This window comes from Homo sapiens, chromosome 9, assembly GCF_000001405.40.
Source record: "Homo sapiens chromosome 9, GRCh38.p14 Primary Assembly".
Lineage (NCBI taxonomy): Eukaryota > Metazoa > Chordata > Mammalia > Primates > Hominidae > Homo > Homo sapiens.
In genome coordinates, this window is record NC_000009.12 from 83198374 (window position 1) to 83221012 (window position 22639).

General features: G+C 43.3%; 1 protein-coding gene, 1 long non-coding RNA gene and 1 pseudogene across 3 annotated transcripts in view; 1 reads left to right on the top strand and 2 right to left on the bottom strand.

The window, feature by feature from the left end:
* The window catches only part of RASEF (RAS and EF-hand domain containing), a 239635-nt gene extending 218784 nt beyond the window's left edge, over positions 1–20851 (bottom strand). Inside the window, exons 1-2 of the mRNA XM_047422827.1 lie at positions 20776–20851; positions 20509–20621 (exon numbers count right to left, since the gene is read on the bottom strand). The gene's annotated coding sequence lies outside the window, so the exon portion shown is untranslated. The remainder of the gene's footprint in view (positions 1–20508; positions 20622–20775) is intronic.
* Positions 2567–2855, bottom strand: RN7SKP242 (RN7SK pseudogene 242; annotated as a pseudogene).
* A 120-nt stretch (positions 20852–20971) lies between the features above and the next one.
* FRMD3-AS1 (FRMD3 antisense RNA 1) overlaps positions 20972–22639 on the top strand; it is a 51489-nt gene continuing 49821 nt past the window's right edge. For both annotated transcript variants that reach the window (NR_184120.1, NR_184121.1), the window contains exon 1: positions 20972–21004. This is a non-coding gene — a long non-coding RNA (FRMD3 antisense RNA 1). The remainder of the gene's footprint in view (positions 21005–22639) is intronic.

Consider the following 22639-nt stretch of genomic DNA (forward strand, 5'->3'; position numbering starts at 1 on the left):
TTGTCCCCTTTAACATGCATAAGGAAACCTCTTTCCTTATACATAATTCAGTGCCTTTCACCTCCACTCTCTGCATGTCCTTACACATGGATAGACTGCCTGGCCAGCTGTCTGGATGGCAGACCCCAGGGAGCGGCCCCATTTTGTTAACTCACTGGACTGACTAAGGCAGCACCACAGGGAGATACAGAAGCCAATCAATGAGAGGACAAACAAACTCAGGTTTCCTCCTAGCACTTAACACAGGCTGTTCTTCTCAGCCCTGCAACATTTCAGGCAGTCTGACTCCTGCTTCATGAGCCTGAAAAACAGAACTTGTTTCGCTCTCAGCGACCACTCCACAGAGCAGACTGCAGTCCCTGAGCAAGCAGAGATGCAGGAGACAAAGCCCAAAGAGATGAGAAAAGGCAGAAGGAGCAGCTTTCTGTTCCCAGGCAATTTTGAAAGTTATAAATAGAATGGGGGGGAGGGATAAATGTAGGGGAGGGATAAATGTAGAGAAAACATTTACTATAGAAAGAAATACAAATCTTAAATATTTAGACAATGAAAGAAACAAAAAGAACTGCCACAAAAGCCACTCTGCATACAGGCTCATACGAGACATGACAACTGTCAAATAACTATGCAAAGCAATGAAATGTCTTCATCCCCAATTACTTTTGCTATTAATTGCAATTTCACAAAGGTTTCCAAGACCTTCCACAAGAGAAAAAAGATGCAATGCTTTTTCAAAGTTTGGCATGAGTTTTATGTCAGGAAACAAACTGGTTTGCACATTCGGAAGTTGGAAGTTAAGAAGGTTACATTTTTTCTCACATATTTTGGAGGCATCTGGACAGCCCTAATTTAAAAAAAAAAAAAAAAAAAAAAAAAAAAAAGCACCTGACCTTTGAAAAGCTCATAAGACAAAGTCAGCTTTATTTTCTGTTAGAGATCTGCTATAAAGAGTTAAGTATTTTTTACAAAAGAATGTGCATCTGTAGCTATGGAGTTGCTCGCACCATCGCAGCCTGTCTGTAGCAGGGATTGCTAACTAACACGGCCAGCCTGCATGTTGAGACAGCATCATCCACTAGAGGCCAGAATGAGACTGTCATGTACAGGCAAATCAAATATAGACTCAGGAAGCACCAGAGCATCAGGGAGTGACACCAATATTGCAGGTGACACGCCAACAAAATGCACTTCTAAATCCTCTTACGCAGTTTCTTTCCACATCCAAATCAGTGGGTAAATGAGGCACTAAAGGACAACATCTGTCAGCAAGAGGCTGACACTGTATTGAAGACTCAGAAACTAGAACAAAAATGGACCATTCTTTCCTGAACTGAAGTTGAGAAGGAAGGAAAAGAGGAGGCAGGGCATGGGTGCTGGTGAGACAGAGGCCAAGGACACAAATGCGTATCTGATATAGGAGGCAGGAGAGGAGAGCAGAGAAATGGGCAGGGAAAATGCCTCTGGAGTTCCTGGACCTGGAACTGGACTAGGAGCTAGTTGCAGCCTTGTGCATCAGTCAGGAACTGGTTAAAAACACACAGCACAGGCACACCATGGAGCATGATGCCGCCACCTAGCAACTGAGGTAGGCCTGTCTGTTGGTATGGAAAGACCTCTAAGACATGCTTAAGTAAGAAAGTGGTAGACACTATGCTCTGTAACGATGACATGTGTGAATTTGTTAAGGATGCATATGCACACACATATACATAAAATCCTTCTAAAGGCCGGGCGCGGTGGCTCACGTCTGTAATCCCAGCACTTTGGGAGGCCAAGGCTGGTGTGTTTTTAACCAGTTCCCCTCCTGAGGTCAGGAGTTTGAGGCCAGGCTGACTAACATGGTAAAACCCCATCTCTACTAAAAACACAAAAATTAGCCAGGTGTAGTGGCGGTTGCCTGTAATCCCAGCTACTTGGGAGGCTGAGGCAGGAGAATTGCTTGAACCCAGGGGGCGGAGGGTGCAGTGAGCCAAGATCATGCCATTGCACTCCAGCCTGGGCAACAGAGCAAGATTCCGTCTCAAAAAACAAAAAAATCCTTCTAAAAAGATGCACAAACAAATACAAGAAGCCTCCCAATTAGAAGCCTTGCACTTGTTGCTGGCCTGTTCAGAAAGGTCCTTTCCCAGATCAACTCCCACTGAGTTTTTTATTCGTTTACCATCTCAGCGAGACACTCCGGCCACTGTATTTAAAAATCAGTCCTTCCAATGCTATTGTCTCCCTTTGCTGCCTTATTTTCCTCAAAACACCTGTCATCATCATTTTTGTCTCACTCCACTGGAATGTAAGCTCCAGGAAGGAAGAGGTGATTTTGTCTGTTGTGTTCACTGCTGTATCCCCAGGTTCTAAAGCAATGTCAGCTCATAGCAGGGCCTCAGTGAGCTTGCTACATGAATTAGTTAAGTCATAGCCTATGTTGTGGTTCCCTGAAGTGAGAAAAGAGCTGGGATTTACTCAGATTACCAAGGAAACAATGCTGCATTGAGGCTGCCAGTCTGGACATGACCTCCAGCTGACTTTGCTCCAAAGATGAGTCCAAGCACTCCAGAGCATCTCCCTTCTCTTAAAGGGTCATAGACCCATAGACCAGGATTTTGTACATAAAGACTTTCAATATCTGGAGTGAGTTTGATCAAAGGATCTAACAGAGAAATGCAGCTAATGTAGACTTGTGAAGGCAAGAGGGCTTTCCTCTTCCTAGAAAGGCCATCCACCCCACCCAATGATATAGGTTTGGGAGAATCCTGGAGAAGCTGTGGAAGAAGGACACCTGCCTAGCAAGTCAGACCAGGCTGCTGTACCCTGGCTGTTGATGGCAGAACAGAAGTCACAGCCAGACTGTCCATGTGTCCCTGTCTGGAACACAGTTCTCCTCCACACAGCCCACTGCATTCGGCCTTCAACCAAAAAGGTGCTGGAGAATGACAAGCAAAAGCCCATCCAGGGTTCTTAGCAGTGGGGAAAGCATATTCCTATCATCATGTTTTGCTGAAATAATTTTGAATTATGCCTTGGACGTAGAGGATGCCAGAGTTCGGATATTCTCTTGGAAGAGGCCTTGGTAATGGAGGAGACACTCCCAAATAGTAAGTGGATTCTGGAGGCAACTACTTAACCAATCTAGTGCTATTTCAGAATTTTTAAAAAATATAATTGTAAGAAATGTTTTTGGAGTGAAACATGTATTATCACGTGGACCAATATAGCAGTTGGACTCAATGTAAATATTAATGGGACTTTTTTCTATTTCTCTACTCCTCACTACAAATTAGTTACTTGCCTGGGATCTAATTTTACTTAATATGTAGGTAAGGAATAGTGCTTGGCATGATTTCATGCTTGGAATATGTAAGTAAGGAAAAATGCTCAGCAGGATTTCATGCTTGGTTTGTTGTCTCTTCAGTTCTATTCTCAAGTAGTTTAGCATTTTGTTTTAAATGTTTTAGCTCCTAAGGGCATGAATATATACAATAATATCTCCCTTCCCAGATTATCAGACTCCTAAGTCTGACTCCTTCAAGCACCGAGAAGCCAGATCAGGACACAGATGAAAATGCTAACATAACACTGCATCATGCAGATGATTTGAAAACATGGTGACTGAGAAGTGGCTCATCCCAGATGGCTATGGGGTCAAATACATCTCCAGTTATGGCCCTCTGGACAAGTGGCAGGCCCTGCACTCATGAGGGCTCCCCATGTGCTGCTCCCTCCTAATGCCCACCAATAAATCCTACTTCCTGTCCAAAAAAAAAAGAAAAACCACCCATCATAGCAACATGCACTTTGCTCCTTAAGTTCTCATTCAAAGCCTTATTAACTATTATTTAACACATAAGCTTAAGTATGTTTAATTAATTTCTATATCTATGCAGCTTAAAAGGAAAATTGGCTAAAAGACATGAGTCAAGCAGCTGCAATGACTCAGAGATGTAATAGACAATGATAACAAAAGAGAAAACAGAACTATAAATAATGAATATTCATAATGAAAAACAATTGTCAAGCTAATATTTAACTACAACTAACACACATTGTAATGATAGAAAGCTTTCCAATGCACTTTAAAATGAATTTAACAAGAAATGGCATTAAAAGAAAGCAGTATTTTTTTTTTGAGGTGGAGTCTCACTCCGTTGCCCAGGCTGGAGTGCAATGGCTTGATCTCAGCTCACTGCAGATTCAGCCTCTCAGATTCAAGCAATTCTCCTGCCTCAGCCTTCCCAGTAGCTAGGATTACAGGTGCCCGCCACTATGCTTGGCTTGTTTTTTTGTTTGTTTGTTTGTTTGTTTTAATTTTTAGTAGAGATGGGGTCTTGCCATGTTGGCCAGGCTGGTCTCAAACTCCTCACCTCAGGTGATCCTCCCACCTCGCAAAGTGCTGGGATTACAGGCTTGAGCCACCACACCCAGCCAAGAAATTAGATTTTAAGTGTTCTCACCACAGAAAAGATAAGTATGTGAGGCACTACATATGTTAAATAGCTTGATTTGGCCATTCTACTGGTATACATACATCAAAACGTCATGTTGTACACCATAATATATATAATTTTTACTTGTCAATTAACAATAAGTAAATGGACAGCAGTACTTAAAAGAAAAAGATGTACATATTTAGATTATTCTCTTATATGGACCCAACTGTTAATTGTTAAAGCTAGCAAAATGGAAGTTATTGTATATATGGAATCTATATATATAGATATTATATGCCCCATATATATAATCAATAGACGATCGACAGCAATCCATTAAAAATTAGTGTGGGTTCCTACAAAATTTACATTTATTTTTACATTTATTTATTAAATAAATATTGAGTACTTCTAGCTCTTAGTGAGTTAGACAGACTTGGTCTTGCCCTTGTAGACCCTCCTTATGTTCTATTTCAGTCCTTTTTTTTTTTCTTTTTTTGAGATGGACTCTCATTCTGTCACCCGGGCTGCAGTGCAGTGGCGCCATCTTGGCTCACTGCTACCTACGCCTCCCAGGTTCAAGCAATTCTCCTGCCTCAGCCTCCCAAACAGCTGGGATTACAGGCACTCACCACAATACCTGGCTAATTTTTGTATTTTTAGTAGAGACGGGGTTTCATCATGTTGGCCAGGCTGGTCTCAAACTCTTGATCTCAAGTGATTCATCAATTTCAGCCACCCAAAGTGCTGGGATTACAGGCATGAGCCACCACACCTGGCCTATTCCATTACATTTTAGGTAAGTTCGTTGAAAGTGAAAATAGGATGCCTTGAGAGAAAATAGGTAAGTAGACCAGGTCTGTTCTGAAGGTGGTACGGTGGGGGTCTCTCTTGGGGTCCTAAATTTCAGATCTGAAGAGTGAGTATCACTTAAGTAAGTGAGGAGCTGGCTATGGGTGGGCACTCCAGTCAGGAGGAACAGCAAATGCAAAGGCCCTGGGGTGAGAGGAAGTGCATGGTGCCAGCAGAACTAAGGGAGGTCCTATGGCTGGAGCAAGAGGATGAGAGGCAGGGGTGGAAACACTCAGAACGCAAAACACATGCTGATGTAGATAACCTTTATTCTATGGGCAGTGGCAATTCACTGCAGAGTGCCATTCAAAGATGTTTGAAAAACTCATTTTGATGGCAGTGTGGAGAACAGATCAAAGTGAGAGCCTGAGTGAGCATCTGATTGCTTAAGGGGGACAAGGCAGTGTCACAGTCCTCCAGGGAGAGCAGATGGTAAGAAGGTGAGGATGAAGATGAATAGCTGTATTCAAAAACATTTAGGAGGTAACAGTGGACAGGATTTAGAGATGGACCAAGTATGGATGGTGAGGAAGAGGAAGGAGTAAGAGGCCTTGGTGTTCTGGCCTGGGCAGTTGGGAGCACCACAGGGTTGGCCACTAGATGGAGGACACGACACAGGCACAGGGATACCATGTGGGGTGAGGCAGGGACTGATCAATGTTGTTTCAATTTGCAAAGTTTGGAGTCCTGTGAAACATTCAAATGGGTATGTCAATAAAGGTGTATGTATGTATCTGAAGTTCACAGGCCACATCTGGGTTCAAGATATAAGGTTCAAGCCCTTCACTTACACTGGCTATGGGTCCTAAGAACCTACAAGGACAAAAGATTTCTATTGCTAAACTCATCACTGGAGGGGACAAAAAAGGTTCCCAGGGAAAAGTGCTTTTGATAAATTTTGTTTCAGAGAATTGGACCACTTACACTTTCCAAAGACATTGGACGAAATAAGAAAAATGGATTCCATGTCATAAAGCTCAAAAACACCACACAAACATGTCATCTAATAGCACATGATGACTATAATTTAATATGAGAAAAAATTAGCATGCTTGGCACACATGGACTAAGTACATAATAAACATTCGCTGATTTGATGATGCTGATACTGATAACAATGATGACATGGGACTGTTTTACAAAATGGATATAAACATATGCCAAAAAGATCATTTAGTTCTAGGATAAGTTGCTATGTACCAAATAGCCATATTGTTAATACTAGTTTTGCCAATTATAATTCTCAAAGCTCTTCCATACACTGTATTTTTGTAATCTTCAAAATCATCCTTTAAAGCAGGTGAGACAAATATTATATCCATTTTACAGATGTCAAAACTAAATCTCAAAGAGATTAAGAAACTCAACCAAAGATACTCAGTTAACAAGTGGCAGGGCCATGATTCATCCAAATCTTTGACTTCATCTTCCGTATGCCAACACTGGTTAAAAGGATCCCAGAAGAAACACAAAACAAAGTTGATGAAATCTTTGGAGGAGTTTGCTTTAAGAAATACATCTATGGAAGATTGCCTGAGGCCAAATACAGTATGAAAGATATGAAGGTTTTTGCCATCTTGGAAGGAGAGCAAAGCGAAGAAATGGAGAAAAGTTGAGTACTGAATTGATATCACTGTGCAGAGTTGCTAGATGAAGCACAAACAGATTTTCAGATAAGCAAGCCATACATTTTTCTGTTGTCCCACTAGTTTGAATAGCACTTCTATCACTTGCAATCAAAATAATACCAATAAATGCAATGACATTGGACATCTCACTACTTTCTCAACAAAATCCATACAACCTTCCTCTGTGACTATGCTCATGCTGTTTCTACCAACTGGTATTCCTTTTCTCACCTGTTGAACTCCTAGCCATCCTTCAAACACCCCCTCACTATGATCTGCAAAATGAAACCTTTACTGACTCCACCAAGACAATCACTTCTCCCTCTCTTGCTCCCCAGGCACTTTATTTGCACTTCTCTTACAGAACTTCATCCTCTGGAGTAGGCATCTCTTCTTCCCTTGGTACAGTATCTTACACATGGTAGACCTTCAATACGTAATCAATTTTACCACACTGTATACACTGGAATGCTAACTAATTTCTCAGAAGATTGCCAATGTTGAAATGTTTAAATGTTTAAAATGTTAATATTATGTGACAAAACAAAAGAATGGTCAAACCTCGGCCTTTCCTCTCCACATTTACTAGATGAACACACCGTATAGACATTTCCTAGGACCTCCTATAGCTGGTCATTCTGAATATCATTTTGGGGGCAGTAGAATATAACTACCCTAAAAATATGAAATAAGAAGTTGAAAATCCTTCACTTTTCATATTAAGCACATAGATTTTATTTTGCAGATATCCTCTGTTAATTGCACTAAAAAAGGCATGTCCCTCCACCTCATAAATCTTATAAAAAATATTATAAGCATATTTTAATAATTTGTACCTTCTATCGTTTCAGCCATTTCTCAAAATAGCTTTGAAATGTTATATTTTACTATTGTTCATAACAAATCATGTAACCTAGTTCAAAAAACAAGGAAAGTGAATTCAAATAAGAATATTTTTTCGTTAAGATCTAGCAAAGTGTTTTATATTCCTAATCTGGGTTTATTCTATGAAAGAAAAAGGAATTAATCTTTGTTTTTAATCTACACAGCATTCAAACTGGAAAGGCAAATTTCTATTTTCTAATGCTGGGTTATTAAAATGTATTTCAGATGACAGGCATAAAATACTTATTTCCATACAAACGACAAGACAGCAAAATGAATAGAATCATCATGCTCATGGAAAATGCCAGCACCTCAGAGAGAGGGAGATCCAATCAGAAAAATGCTGTAGCTTTTACCTTTCAGAATAACGATTTACTAAGATTACTTTTAACCAGCTAATGGCTTTTGGTCTGACAAAATACAACAAATATTGGCATAGCATCTTACAGTATACGCTATATGCTGATAATTATCCCCATTTGGTGTTTATGGAAAATGAAGCCTAGAGGTCTTAATAACAGCGAGTACGTGATGAAGCCAGAGGCCCGGAGGCCTGTGTCTCATCCCCAGTGGCCACGTGACAGGTTATACAAGTGCCAACAAATTGCTGCTCATGAGACTTTTTTGCCCAGCTCTCATTTCATACCATAGTTGCCTTCAGGCTTCCAGAAGCTGTTCACCTCCAGAGCTGCCTCTTTGGCCCAGCCTTCTCCTTGGGGATGGGCGCTCCCCTCACCTTCCATGGCTGCCTTACTCCTGCTCCCATCTCTCCACTGTTGCGTCTTCCCGTCTAGGCCGGTCCCTTCAGACCTGCCTTTCCCTCCTGGAGATATGACACCTGACTCTGATTCAGATAGTCTAGGACCCTGGAAAGGTAAAGAGGAGTTTCCCTCTTCTGAAAAGAGACCCCTGATCTTGCTCCGCACATGGAAATAGCAGAAATATGTCTCCAGTACACTGGCCCCATGCTCTGGTTTACGGGACGGGTCATTACTCCAAGAGAGTCTATCACGGACATTCTGCTCCAAGAGAGTCTATCACGGACATTCTGCTCCAAGAGAGGCTATCACAGACATCCTGGAATGGGAAGGATGCCTTCACACCGGTTGTGAAAAAGTCACTGGAAGTGGGATAAATTGAAGGCAGGGGCTTTTCCTTTTGCTCTCGAGTTATTTCCTTGGGTCTCCGCTCAGGGTGTCTGCACTAATCTTCAGTCCATCCCAGGTGGTGGCAACTGGTGAAACCAAGTGCTGCCCTGCATATACCATGTGCATCTGCAGTGGGTTCATCGAAGTTACCAGAGCCTGAATGTATGTGAAAGGCCACATTCTCCAGGGGGCCCTCTAACATATTCAGCAAGAGGGTGGCAACTTGAGGGGCCCGATAACTTTCAGGATGTACTAGATCAAACTGCCTCAGAGTTATCTCAGGAGGGCTGCTTTTTTTTTTTTTTTTTTTTTTTTGAGACGGAGTCTTGCTCTGTAGCCCAGGGTGGTGGAGCGCAGTGGCGCAATCTCAGCTCACTGCAACCTCTGCCTCTCAGCTTCAAGCAATTCTCCTGTCTCAGCCTCCCAGGTAGCTAGGATTACAGGCATGTGCCCCCACACTCGGCTAATTTTTATATTTTTAGTAGAGATGGGATTTCGCCATGTTGGCAAGGCTGGTCTTGAACTTCTGACCTCATGATCCACCCGTCTCCGCCTCCCAAAGTGTTGGGATTATAGGCATGAACCACCGCGCCTGGCCAAGGGCTGCTTTTAACAGAACTCTGCACACAACTGTTCTGACCGCCTCTTGGTACACTCCCCATCAGTCTCTCCTTCTGTTCTTGTAGTGGCATGTCTCCATTCATTTTTATTGTTAATATCAATCTGGGGGGACCTTAAAGCAAACGCTGTATTGTCTGATTCCTTTCTCCATCCATTGGAGCTGTCGCTGTCGCAGGGGGCTGTACGTTGACCTTCAGGCAGCCTCTGGATGGGGTCGTCACCTCTGCAGTTGTCAACCGGCCATCCTGCTATGGCACCCTTGGGCGTCCCTGCAGGCTGTACTCTGAACTCTGCCCTGACATCCTCTCCCAGGGGCGTGTCTCCAGGACAGGAAACACTACTTTCCAGCAGAGTGATTTCTGGTACCAGTGTGCTACCCCTTGTGGGAGATAAGAAAATTCCTGGAAACTCTCTGCATTTCCTGCCTAGAACACCCCTTCTGAGAGTTCTCTTCCCTCCCCCAGGTTCCTCTAAAAGTTCCTCCTCTGAGCTGTCTGTCAGTGGACTCCAGAAGTAACCATTTCTGGGTGGGCTCTGCCCAGTCTCCTCTAAAACCTTACTATCTACATAGGTGTGTCTGAGTTGTGGCTGAACCCCAACCTCTCAGGAAACATCTCATCCTCACTGGAGTTCTGAATATGTCTATTTCCTGTTCTGTCATATTGTTGTTCAGCAGACTCCTCCTGCTTAAGACTTTTAGCAGGGGGCATGGCACCTCCTCCCTCCCTCTCATTCCTAACTGTAGTTTCTTGCCGCCCACAAGACCGATAGCCAGGAAAATTCTCCAGGAAGGAATTTGAAAATTCCAAAGACAAGGCCATTTCTGACAAGTTGTTCTGGGAGCTTAAAGGGAAGCTATGAATATCCATTTGGGTACCAGACTGGTCTCTGAGCAGAGGGGGAGGATCAGATGATCTCAGATAACCCTTTTTCTTATTTCCTAGAGCATTTGAACTTTGGCAAAGGTTAGACCAAGGGAGTCCTACAGAAGTTTGGGGACTTTTCAACTTGTGCTTTTTGGGAGAGCTGCACAAGAACTTCTGGGCCCAATTTATAACATGACTCAGCTTCTGTGCCTCAGGGACAAAGGCATCAGCCACCATATGGAGATGCCATTCAGTTGGGCAGCAATTTCTCTTGGGCCCCCACTGGGCTCTCTGGTCCCAGTATTGCTCTGCTTCTCCGGGAGTCACTTTGGACACTTCAAGGAGCAGAGGTTTCTTTCCATTTGCTAAATAATGAGGTAACGCCTGAAGGCCCCTCAGCCTGAAGGTCTGATGTTCTGTGGGGTTCACTTGGATGTCTTGGGAAGCCATCAACACTGATTGGCTGCCATTTCTGGAAGAATCACCCTTGAGGATCCCAATGCTTTCACAGTAAGTTACACACTTGGCTCGTGAGAGCTTTAGGCCATGGGATTGAGGAATGTCTGCTTCATTCTGTGGAGAATGTGCAGTCTGTATGGGAGGTAATGGATTCATCTGCAAATTTTTTAAAAAGAGACATTTTTTAAATACATGCTGTTTCAGGCAGAAGCAACAGCATGTGTGAAGGCTTCCAGATGAGCAAATTTGGCCAGAAGAAACTGGCCCAGGCCAAGGGCTGCAGACCCCTGGGGTGGAGCGAGTCACAGTTGCTGCAAGTCATTGGAGAATCCATATGTGAGCTAAAAAATGCCTGAATAATAAACAAATAACACTGCAATTCATGAAATACATATTCATATGCAAATGACTTCTGAACTCAGAGAAGCCTTTTGACATTGTGTATTTTCTTAATCCTTATACTAAAAGTATAATGACGAAAAGTATAATGACTGTCATGTCACTTTTGGAGAAAAAATTTCAGGATGAAACCATGACTTTATATTAAAAAAGTCATGGTCCATGTTGGCCTAGACTTAGCCTGTGCCCTCCCGCTTCCCTGACCCCTGTTTAGTGTTCTCAGGCTGCATTTGACTCTATGCCCAATAGGAAATCAATCTCATAAATAAATGCATGTTTAGGTGTTGCTAAGTTACAAGAAGTTATAATCTTATACACATAATGTTGATACTAAATAACACTAAATAGACACTTTGAAATATGTATTTATGCACTTTGACAAATAATTTCTGAAGACATCATGTCTGTTCTGGAAGTAACAGATATTTGCGTCATGGAATTTTCCACGAGAAAAAGGAGCCATCTATCTTAGAAGGCAAAGGAGTGATTATACATGAAAAATCCTTTCTAGCCCAGTGGCTTTTGCAATGCATTCTGCAGAGCTCCATATTTGCAAGGAAAATCAGAGATCATGACAGAAGGGGTTTGGAGGGGGCCAAGGGGACTGCAGGATTTGAAACCCTTCATGCACTTCAACTAGAGCAATTCTAGTACATTTTAAATGGCAAGACTTCCTTTAAGGAAAGGATTCAACTGCCATGAAAAAGCATTTGAAATCTTCTGTACAATATTCTTACTTTGCAGAATAGGGGACCGAGGCTTAGAATGATGAAGTGACTTCTTCAAGGTCAGCCTGGTTGAGAACAGCAAGGTCATGCATGATAAGGGCCCTGTCTCCATTGCACCACAGTAGTGGGACATCCTCAGACTGGCAGCACGCCTGCAATCTCTCATGTAGTATCATCTACCATATCTGACCATTCCAGCTCACCATGAATGACACCTTCTACAAACGATACCACTTAGTGTCTGTACATTGCTTAGAAACTATCATGTATTGCTTCTTTACTCATGCTTATTATATTGGTCATTTTAATTTTTGTTTCTTGAGTTATCTAATGTTTTACAAAAACATTTATTTTGAAACAACTCAAATTTACAAAATGTTATAGGTATAGTATAAATAGGGTAACCAACCATCCCTGTTTGCCTGGAACTGAGGGGTTTCCCCGACACATGGCCATCAATGCTAAAACTGAGACTATCCCAGACAAACGAAGCTGGTCAGTCACCCCAGGTAAAAAGTCATTTTATCCCCTTGAGAGTAAGTTGCCAACCTAATAGTCCATCATCCCTGAATAATTTAGTGTAGATTTTCTACAAACAAGGACATTATCTTTCATACTTTACAACATAGCCAGCAAAAACAGGAAAGTAACATTGATACATTATGACCATCTTATCCTCATACTCCATTCAATATTCACCAGTTGTTCCAGTAATGTCCTTTCTAGCAAAGGATTCAATTCAAAATCATGCATTGCATTTAGTTGCCATGCCTCTTTAGTCTCCTTCAATCTGGACAGATCCTCAGTCTTTCCTTGACTTAATGATGTATCTAATTTTTAAGGTAGCCACATCTAGTCTCTCTGATTTAGGGCACATATAGTAGGTTATGGGTTTTTTTTTCTTTTATATTTTTAGAGCACCAATAACATTTTTTAACCATGTAGAATGTGCTTCATAAATAACTGATCAACAAGCATGAAGTCAGCCAGACTCCATAACTGAAGGTAGCCATGATTCTGCTGGGATATTGAACTGGTTGTTCTCAGCAACAACTTGAACTCCCAAAGGGTCTGGTTTTCACACTGTAGCAAAGTCAAAGAACGAGAAGACTCTTTACTCTTCAGCTCTTCTTTGAAACCAAGAACATTTCATCTAGGCTGGCCCCAATCAATAATCTCAGCAGACTGGACTAGCTCATCAAAGAGTGAGATACTGGGACTGTGGAAGCTAGTCTGAAGACCATATGGTTTCAGCTTTTTACCCTTTTCTCATTACATTGCACATTGCCTTGCACTAACCTTATTTTTTATCATGATGCATATAAGGGTGTCATTAGGGCCACAGTGGAGTAAAGATGACTTGGCTATTGTCTAGGCCACTTGTGCCTGTCACTTATTAGAGATGGACACTCAGATCCAGAAAGTAGGACCACAGCTATGCCCACAAGAAGTAAGTAGCCAACTTATAAAGGAACCCGTGGCTTTTGGAAGCCCAGCGCTCTTTCCACAGCTTTCTCACTGTAAACAATAACAGCATGAAGACCCATTGTCAGGAAATTGTACTCATGTATAATTAGTATCACTGTATACTTAGGACCTCAGAAACCCAGAAACTAGTACTTGAATTGAAAAAAATAAACCCTTAGTGTGTGGGTGTATGTGTGTGTGTGTGTACATATATTTATATGTATGTATATATGTATATAAAATCAGGGTCCAGTGAGAGATATGAAAAATGTGTGATAACAATAACAACAAAATAATAACAGTAGCTGTTAACACATAGCACTTAATGCTTTGAAAACAGAAGACAGATAGGTTAAGTAACTTGCCCAAGGTCACATAGCTGTAGATAGGAAAGCCAGAATTTCAGCCCAAGTCTACTGGTTTCAGAGTTCTTGTTTTTCTTAACTCTTGGATATATTACCTCTCACTTTTAATTATTTAGCTGGCTCTGCATTGTCATAACCAATGTATAGCTCAAGTTGTATTTTTAGAACCCAAATTCATAAGCCATTAATTCAAACACAAATAAACTGGTCTGCCCATGGAAAAGAAAATATCTGAAGCCAAACAGAAAAAAGAAAAAGTTTTACAATTATGATTTGCAATTACTTAAGAGCATTGTATACAACTGACAGTGTCGGTATATATAGATAAACAGATAGTTGCTTAATAAGCCTTTATTTCATTCCTTCTTGAATGACAGAATTTCTCTTTGGACCTCTGCGCTTCACTGTGTCCATAGCTGCTCCTTGCAAGTGACTGAAAACTTCCAAGAAATAAGCTTTGCCTCCCAGCTCCTCTGCAGGGTGCAGTCTGTACATGCCACCTATAGGCATGAAAAAGATGCTTGCTTTCTCCAGCATAGCCAGTGGGACTGCTTAGTGGGCTGTAAACCCCAAAGATTGTAGCAGGCAGAGCAGAAGTCAAGGGAGAGGCAAAGGGAATGGTTCACGCAAAACTTGTGACATTAAGAGAGAGAGTGGGGAGAAAAGCTGCAAGTGAATTTAAGGAAAGAAAACAGAAGCGTAACCACATTAAATTAAGGGCAGGGAAAACAAGGAGAATGATACATCAGTTACAAACTGGAAACAGAGGTTGTCTTTTACCAAAAGCCAAACTACCTGCACAGTGATAAATTATTAGAACACAAAATAGTTTCTTCTTTTAGTACGATAAACCGGGAAACAATGCACAATGCACACGTTTTAAAAAAAAAAAAAAGAAAGAAAACAACTAGGCACAGTGGCTCACATCTGTAATCTCAGCACTTTGGGAGGCCAAGGCAGGTAGATCACTTGAGGTCAGGAGTTCGAGACCAGCCTGGCCAACATGGTGAAACCCCATCTCTACTAAAAATCCAAAAATTAGAGGGGCATGGTGGCATGTGCCTGTAGTCCCAGCTACTTGGGAGGCTGAAGCTGGAGAATCACTTGAACCCAAGAGGCAGAGGTTGCAGTGAGCTGAGATTGTACCACTGCACTCCAGCCTGGGCAACAGAGCGAGACTTCATCTGAAAAAAAAAAAAAAAGATAAAAATAAAAAGTAAAACAAAATAACACTACATATTCTAAAAGAAGACTTTCCCTCCTCAAATCTAACAGACACCGTTGTTCTATTTCTGGTGCTTATACAATATCTGTCTCATTTAAAATAACCTGCAATTCCATCTCAGACAAGTCTATAACGGAAGTAGCTGATGGATAAAACTCTCCTCATTTTCTCCACCCCTACTTTAAGGCTAAAGCTTCAGGATTCTCTAAGCCAGGACCCAGGTGAGAGAACAGTCTCCTCTAAATGAAGAACTCTCTCCCCAGCCTCAGGACTTTGTTATTTTACATATATTTATCTCTCCTCTCATGCCGAGTATATGGTAGAACCTCAACACACTCTTGTTAACTAGCTAAAGAATCAATCTAATTTGATCTAAACAATCAAATTTTCATTTTTAACTTTTCACTCAGGAAAAAAATATTCTACTTTCCCCTTGGCCACTACTTCATCATTTTGGAAGCTCCAGCAGGTGGTACAGCACATTAAAAATACATGGATTCTGCCAGGCACAGTGGAACATGCCTGTAATCCCAGCTATTTGAGAGGCTGAGGTGGGAGGATCACTTGAGCCCAGGAGTTCAAGACTGTAGTGAGCCATGACTGCACCTGTGAAAAGCCTCTGCACTATAGTCTGAGCAACACAGTGAGACCTCATCCTTAAATATTAATTAATTAAGTCGGGCACAGTGGCTCACACCTGTAACCCAGCACTCTGGGAGGCTGAGGTGGGCTGATCACCTGAGTTCAAGGCCAGCCTGGCCAACGGGGAAACCCCATCTCTACTAAAAATACAAAAATTAGCCAGGCATGTTGGTGTGCATCTGTAATCTCAGCTACTCAAGAGACTGAGGCATGAGAATTGCTTAAAACCCTAGAGGCAGAGGTTGGAATGAGTCAAGATCATGCCACTGCATTCCAGCCTGGGCAACAGAGCAAGACTCTGTCTCAAAAAATAAATAAATAAATATTAATTAATTTTTAAAAATATTTAAAGAATATGTGTGGATTCTAGAGTCAGGCAAACAATTTTGGGTTTAAATCCCAGGTCTACCATGAGCTATCAATGTCCCTTTAGGTAAATGACTCAACCTTGGTTATATGGTTTGGCTGGGTCCCCACCCAAATCTCATCTTGAATTGTAGCTCCAATAATCCCCATGTGTCATGGGAGGGACCCTGTGGGAGGTAATTGAATCATGGTGGTGGGTTTTCCCATGCTGTTCTCCTGATAGTGAATAAGTCTCAAAGATCTGATGGTTTTACAAAGCGCAGTTCCCCTGCACATAGTCTCTTGCCTGCTGCCATGTAAGACATGGCTTTGTTCCTCCTTCGCCTTCCACCATGATTGTGAGGCCTCCCCAGCCATGTAGAACTGATACAGACAGTAGACAGGGAAACACTGGGTAGAAAAGGGTGGTTCCCTGGCAAAGGCCCCACTCTCAAGCCTAAAGACCCACAGCCCTAAACAAGGATAGGCATTCCTGTTTTTGCACCCAAAAAGTTGCTTTTTGGACTACCATGCTCCCTATCCTGTACCCATATAAACCCTGAACCCCAGGCTCCAGAGCAGACCAGCAGACAAAGAGATGAGACAAGCAGAAAGACAGCAAATGATGTGGCAGAGAAAGAGAGAAGAGGAACGTCTGAACACCAAGAAGAGTTGGACTGGGGGTAGTTGGAGAGGAGTTAGGCCACTGGACAGCCCAACTCCAGGGGAAGATCATCTTCCCATTCCATCCCCTCCTACCAGCTCCCCATCCATCCTGATGAGAGCCACCTCCACCACTCAATAAAACTTCACATTCATCCTTCAAGCCCATGTGTGACCCGATTCTTCTGGGATGCTGGGCAAGAGCTCAGGGTATTAAAAGCTATCACACTGGCCCTCTACCCTTGCAAAAAGGCAGAGGGTCCATTGAGCTGGTTAACACTCAAGCCATCTGTGGATGGCAAGGGTAAGAGAGCTTTGTAACACTGGGGCCACAGACACCCACCCCTAGACAGTAGACACTACCACAGGGCTGGAGCCTATAGTGCTCCCCTGGCTCCTGCCTGTCTGCGTGCTCCCCCTTGTCAGGGGCAAGCCACACTCCTGTCACACATCCTGCTAAGGGGATCAGGGAACTCTCCCATTTCAAAACTGTGAGTCCATTAAACCTCTTTTTCTTTATAAATTACCCAGTCTCAGGTATGTCTTTACTAGCAGTGTGAGAACGGACTAATACAGTAAATTGATACTGCAGACAGTAGGGTGCTGCTGCAAAGGTACCTGAAAATGTGGAAGCAAATTTGGAACTTGGTAACAGGCAGAGGTTGGAATGGTTTGAGGAGCTCAGAAGAAGACAGGAAAATATGGGAAAGTTTGGAACTTCCTAGAGACTTCTAGGGCTCAGAAGACAGGAAGATATGGGAAAGTTTGGAACTTCCTAGAGACTTATTGAATGCTTTTGGCCAAAATGTTGATAGTGATATAGACAATAATGTCCAGGCTAACGTGGTCTCAGATACAGATAAGGAACTTGTTGGAAACTAGAATAAAGGTCACTCTTGCTATGCAAAGAGACTGGCAGCATTTTGCCCCTGCCCCAGAGATCTGTGGAACTTTGAACTTGAGAGAGATGATTTGGGGTATCTGGTGGAAGAAATTTCTAAGCAGCAAAGTGTTCAAGAGGAAGCAGAGCATAAAAGTTCAGAAAATTTGCAGCCTGACAATGTGATGGAAAAGAAAACCCCATTTTCTGGGGAGAAATTCAAGCTGGCTGCAGAAATTTGCATAGTAACGAGGAGCTAAATGTTAATCACCAAGACAATGGGGAAAATGTCTCCAGGTCATGTCAGACAGCTTTGTGGAAGCCCCTTCCATCACAGGCCCAGAGACCTAGGAGGAAAAAATGATTTCCTGAGCCAGGTCCCAGGCCCCCTTGCTGTGTGTAGCCTAGGGACTTGGTGCCCTGTGTCCCAGCTGCTCCAGCCATGGCTAACAGGGCCCAAGGTACAGCTCAGGCTGTGGCTTCAGAGGATGCAGGCCCCAATCCTTGGCAGCTTCCACGTGGTCTTGAGCCTGCGGGTACACAAAAGCCAAGAACCGAGGTTTGGAAACCACTGCCTATATTTCAGAGGATGTATGGAAACACCTGAACGTCCACGCAGAAGTTTGCTGGAGGAGCAGGGCCCTCATGGAGAACCTCTGCTAGGGCAGTGCGAAAGGGAAATGTGGGGTTGAAGCCACTGAAGCCCCCACACAGAGTCCCCACTGGGGCACTGCCTAGTGGAGCTATGAGAAGAGGGCCTGTAAAATCACAAGCAAGTTAGTTAATTTCTAGATACAATGGGGGTAAAGGCATTGGATAAATATACCCTTTCCAAATGGGAGAAACTGGCCAAAACAAAGGGGCTATAGGCCCCATGTAAGTCTGAAATTCAATACTGTAGTCATTCTCCCCACCCCAGAATGGTAGATCCACTAACAGCTTACACCATGCACCTGGAAATGCTGCAAACACTCAACACCAGCTGTGAAAGCAGCTGGGAGGCAGTCTGTACCCTACAAAGCCACACAGGCAGAGTTGTCCAAGGTTGTGGGAGCCCACTTCTTGCATCAGCATGACCTGGATGTGAGGCATAAAGTCAAAGGAGATCATTTTGGAACTTTAAAGTTTAATGACTTCCCTATTGGGTTTCAGACTTACATGGTGCCTATAGCCCCTTTGTTTTGGCCAGTTTCTCCCATTTGGAAAGGGGGTATTTATCCGATGCTTTTACCCCCCATTGTATCTAGAAATTAACTAACTTGCTTGTGATTTTACAGGCTCATTGGTGGAAGGGATTTGCCTTGTCTCAGATGAGACTTTGGACTGTGGACTTTTGAGTTAATGCTGAAATGAATTAAGACTTTGGGAGACTGTTGGGAAGGCATGATTGGTTTCAGAATGTGAGGACATGAGATTTGGGAGAAGCCAGGGGCAGAATGATATGGTTTGGCTTTGTCCCCACCCAAATATCATTTTGAATTATAGCTCCCATAATCCCCACGTCATGGGAGGGACCCAGAGGGAGGTAATTGAATCATGGGGGCAGTTTCCCGCATACTGTTCTCATGGTAGTGAATAAGTTTCTCACTACCATGGTTTTATAAAGGCCAGTTCCCTTGCACACACTCTCTTGCCTGCTGCCATGTAAGACATGCCTTTGCTCCTCCTTCGCCTTCCGCCATGATTGTGAGGCCTCCCCAGCCACGTGGAACTGTGAGTCCATTAAACCTATTTTTCTTTATAAATGACCCAGTCTCAGGTATGTCTTTATCAGCAATGTGAGAACAGACTAATACATTCGGTTTCCTCATTCATAAAAATAGAGTTGGGGGGTGGGGAAGTGGGTCTTAAACTTTTCCTATCTCACGGTACAGGAATAAAGGGGGATAAAATATCTTAGGTGTCTGGTCCAGAAAAGGTAATTATAAATGTTACTTATGTTTCCTTCTCCTCCTAATTTATCCAATAAATGCAAAAACTCTGAGGCACTCACTGTCTTTTGCTCTTTATCCATTCATCAAACTTTCCTTGGAGCCTAATTGCATGCCAGATACATAACTTCATAAAACACATGTGGTTGTCTCTGGTCCTGTGGAACTACAGTGACAGGGGAGGGGGCAGAAATGAAACAGCTTACTGATAAATGAGTGAATGAATTTGGCTAGATTAATAGGAGTGGGTGAAAGGTAGCATGAATAAACACTCCATTAGGGAAAAAGAAAATTAAGCTAAATTCAAAGTACCAAGTGTGCACGTGGAAGCCAGATCCTGGGAGTTTCTGAAATTCTCTGCGCCTCCCTTTCCTCTTCTACAAAATGGAGATAGTAATAGATGGTAACTCTTTTGGGTTACTGTGAAAAGTAAAACAACACTCCCCTCCCTCATCCTCACTAACCCAGCATATCAACCAGTTTTCTGAGATGTCTAGATTTCCATTTGGCCTCCAGCCAGCTTGAACAGCCAAACTGCCCCCAAGAAAGCACCCTGAATGTGAGGTCATCCAGGGTCCTAGGACTCCATCATACCCACTCCAAAACTAAAAGCCCACAGACCGTGGGGGTAGGACCTGACTAGCTGAAACATGCTGACCAAGCTACCTGAAGCACCTCTGAGGTATGCCCAGGCCTCAGGGTTGTCAAGCAGAAAAACCAGCACCTCCAGCCAGGTGTGTCTCTCTCATAAAGAAAGCTGAAACAGTTTTCCCTGCTTCTGAGTGGCAAGCTCGCCCCCAGATGTTTCTGAGAGCACCGCCCTTGCATTCCCACCAGGCCACCTGAGAACCTGGCCTCCCACATCTGGATTCGGCTGAAGCAGCAGTGTTTGAGAGAAAGGTGAGACTGGACAGTCAAGAAAGGGACAGAAAGTCGACGGTCTGGGAACTATCCCAGCGTGGACATTTACAGAAGCCACATACCTGTGTGTCCTCACTCCTCACAGGAGGACCGTGCAAAGGCAAATTGCTAGGCAGGTAGACCTCACAGATTCTCTCAGCCGGGCAGTCGGTGAGTCTGTCCAAAGCATTTGAATCTGAAGATAAAATGTTAAGAAGAAAATCCTAGAAAAACATGTCACATATATTCTACCCACCGAACCAAACAAAAACAAAAAAGAAACACTTAATTTTTAATAATGGGCGCAAGAAGTACTCAAAGTAATAAATAATAATAATAATAAAAGTTACTTCTTAGCCTGACTGTCCTGGACGAGAATTCCGTCCCCACTTGCAGGTCGGGCACTGAGTGCCTGGACAGAGAGTTAGGTCCCCCGCTTACCCCGCCCTAAGGCTGCGGAAGGCGGCGCCATCGGTCGCCATGGAAATCGCGGCGGATGGGCGGATCCTGGGCAGGTTGGCTGGGTCGGGCTGCCCGGGCGACGCCGGAGTTGCAGTTGGAGGCTGCGGGAATACAAAGGTAAGAGAGCAACTCCTGGGTTCCCTTGACTCGCAAGGGCTTGACCCCTGCCCGGGTTCTGGGAAAGTGAAGCAGAAAGTCGCCTCCCAGCGCAGAATATTCAAATTTGCCAGATGATCAGAATTACGCTGATTTAAAACCCAAACCCTCCCTAGTTTCCCACTCCTGCCCTGCTAAATCAAAATCTCCCAGCCAGGATCCGGAATCTGGATTTAACCAGGGGCCGTTTATAGAGTTGGGAGATTGGTAGATACGAGGTTCGCCTATTCTTATTTCTCAACGCCATACCACTACCCCGTAATGGTAAAAGAATTTGCACCCCAAAATCCTCCCCAGCGGCTCTGAAATGGAGTGCTTGGAGCTGGAAATGCGGAGCCCATTCCTCTCCTTGCAATACTGAAAGTTGTGAGCTGATTGGAAGCGTCGCTGCTTCTTGTGGGTTTCCCACTGGGGGGCAGCCTCGTCCTTCGCTCCTATTCCTTCCGCAAAGCAGAGCCGACAGTGTGGTTTCTGGCTAATTCCGGCTGCAGCCTGGTTAATAATATAAGCAGCACTTCTAGGAAGCGGAGCTTGGATGCAGAGCAGAGCCTAGGGCTGTAAATGGAAGAAGCTCTCAGCCCCAATTCCTAGTTTACAGTTAGGGTTCAGAACAAAGAATCCACGCTTGTAAAGCAATAATGTTCCCCTTGAGGGGAACATTACACTGCCCTTCAGTTCACGTGTATTATTTCTCAGCCCCCCCGAGCTTTATCTTTCATTGGGCAATCAGGTGGGACTTCAGGATTGATGGAGCCAAGCGTTAGCCTTGGCTGCACACTGAGTAACTATGAGCCTCACCTGACCACCTTCAGGAGGCAGCGTGGTGGTGAGAGAGGACTCGCTTCTGCGCTAATGGGGATCGCCATAGCTTCAATGACTATAAAATCAGGACCTGTCGTATCTGCATAGCCTGTCTTAGAGGTTTACGGGACGCTCAGCTCAATAGAGTGGGATAATCTATGGGTCTCTAGTACCTCATGCATTTACTGTACCTTATTTTGATAACCTGTTTATAGGTCTGACTTCTGTTATTTCATGTATAGGCATTGTCAGCTTAAAATCATGAGATCTTAAATTTGGAGAGGAGACTTTATTTCTTATAACGAGTTGCAGCTTGCAGGGTGGCCATCATGACAGGTAGAAGCTAGCCTCTGGCAGAGACCAATAGCAGGCACTTCAGAGGATAAAAGGGAGAGGTTGAGATTTATGCCCAAGGAAATTAGCTATACATACATATTCAGTAGGTTATAGGAGAATCTTATGAATATTTATGAGTCAATACATATGCACAGAATGAACATGTATGTAACATACAACACATGTTCACTTTGGGGTGGAGACAACATTAAGATACAGTCAAATTTAGGCCACACACATTAAAAGGTGAAGCAGGGACATGAAAGTAATCAACGCTCAGCCTCTATGAATCAGCCAGAACCGGTCTGTGGTCTCTTAGAAGAAAGTTACTGAAATCAGTCTCTTGTCCAGTCAGAGCTGTAGTTATGCCTTGTGGAGCACGAGGTCAGTTAGTCAGTGTTTGGTGGTTAGTGAGCTGCAATTGTTTCAATATTGCTTATCTGGAGACCAGTGCTTGTT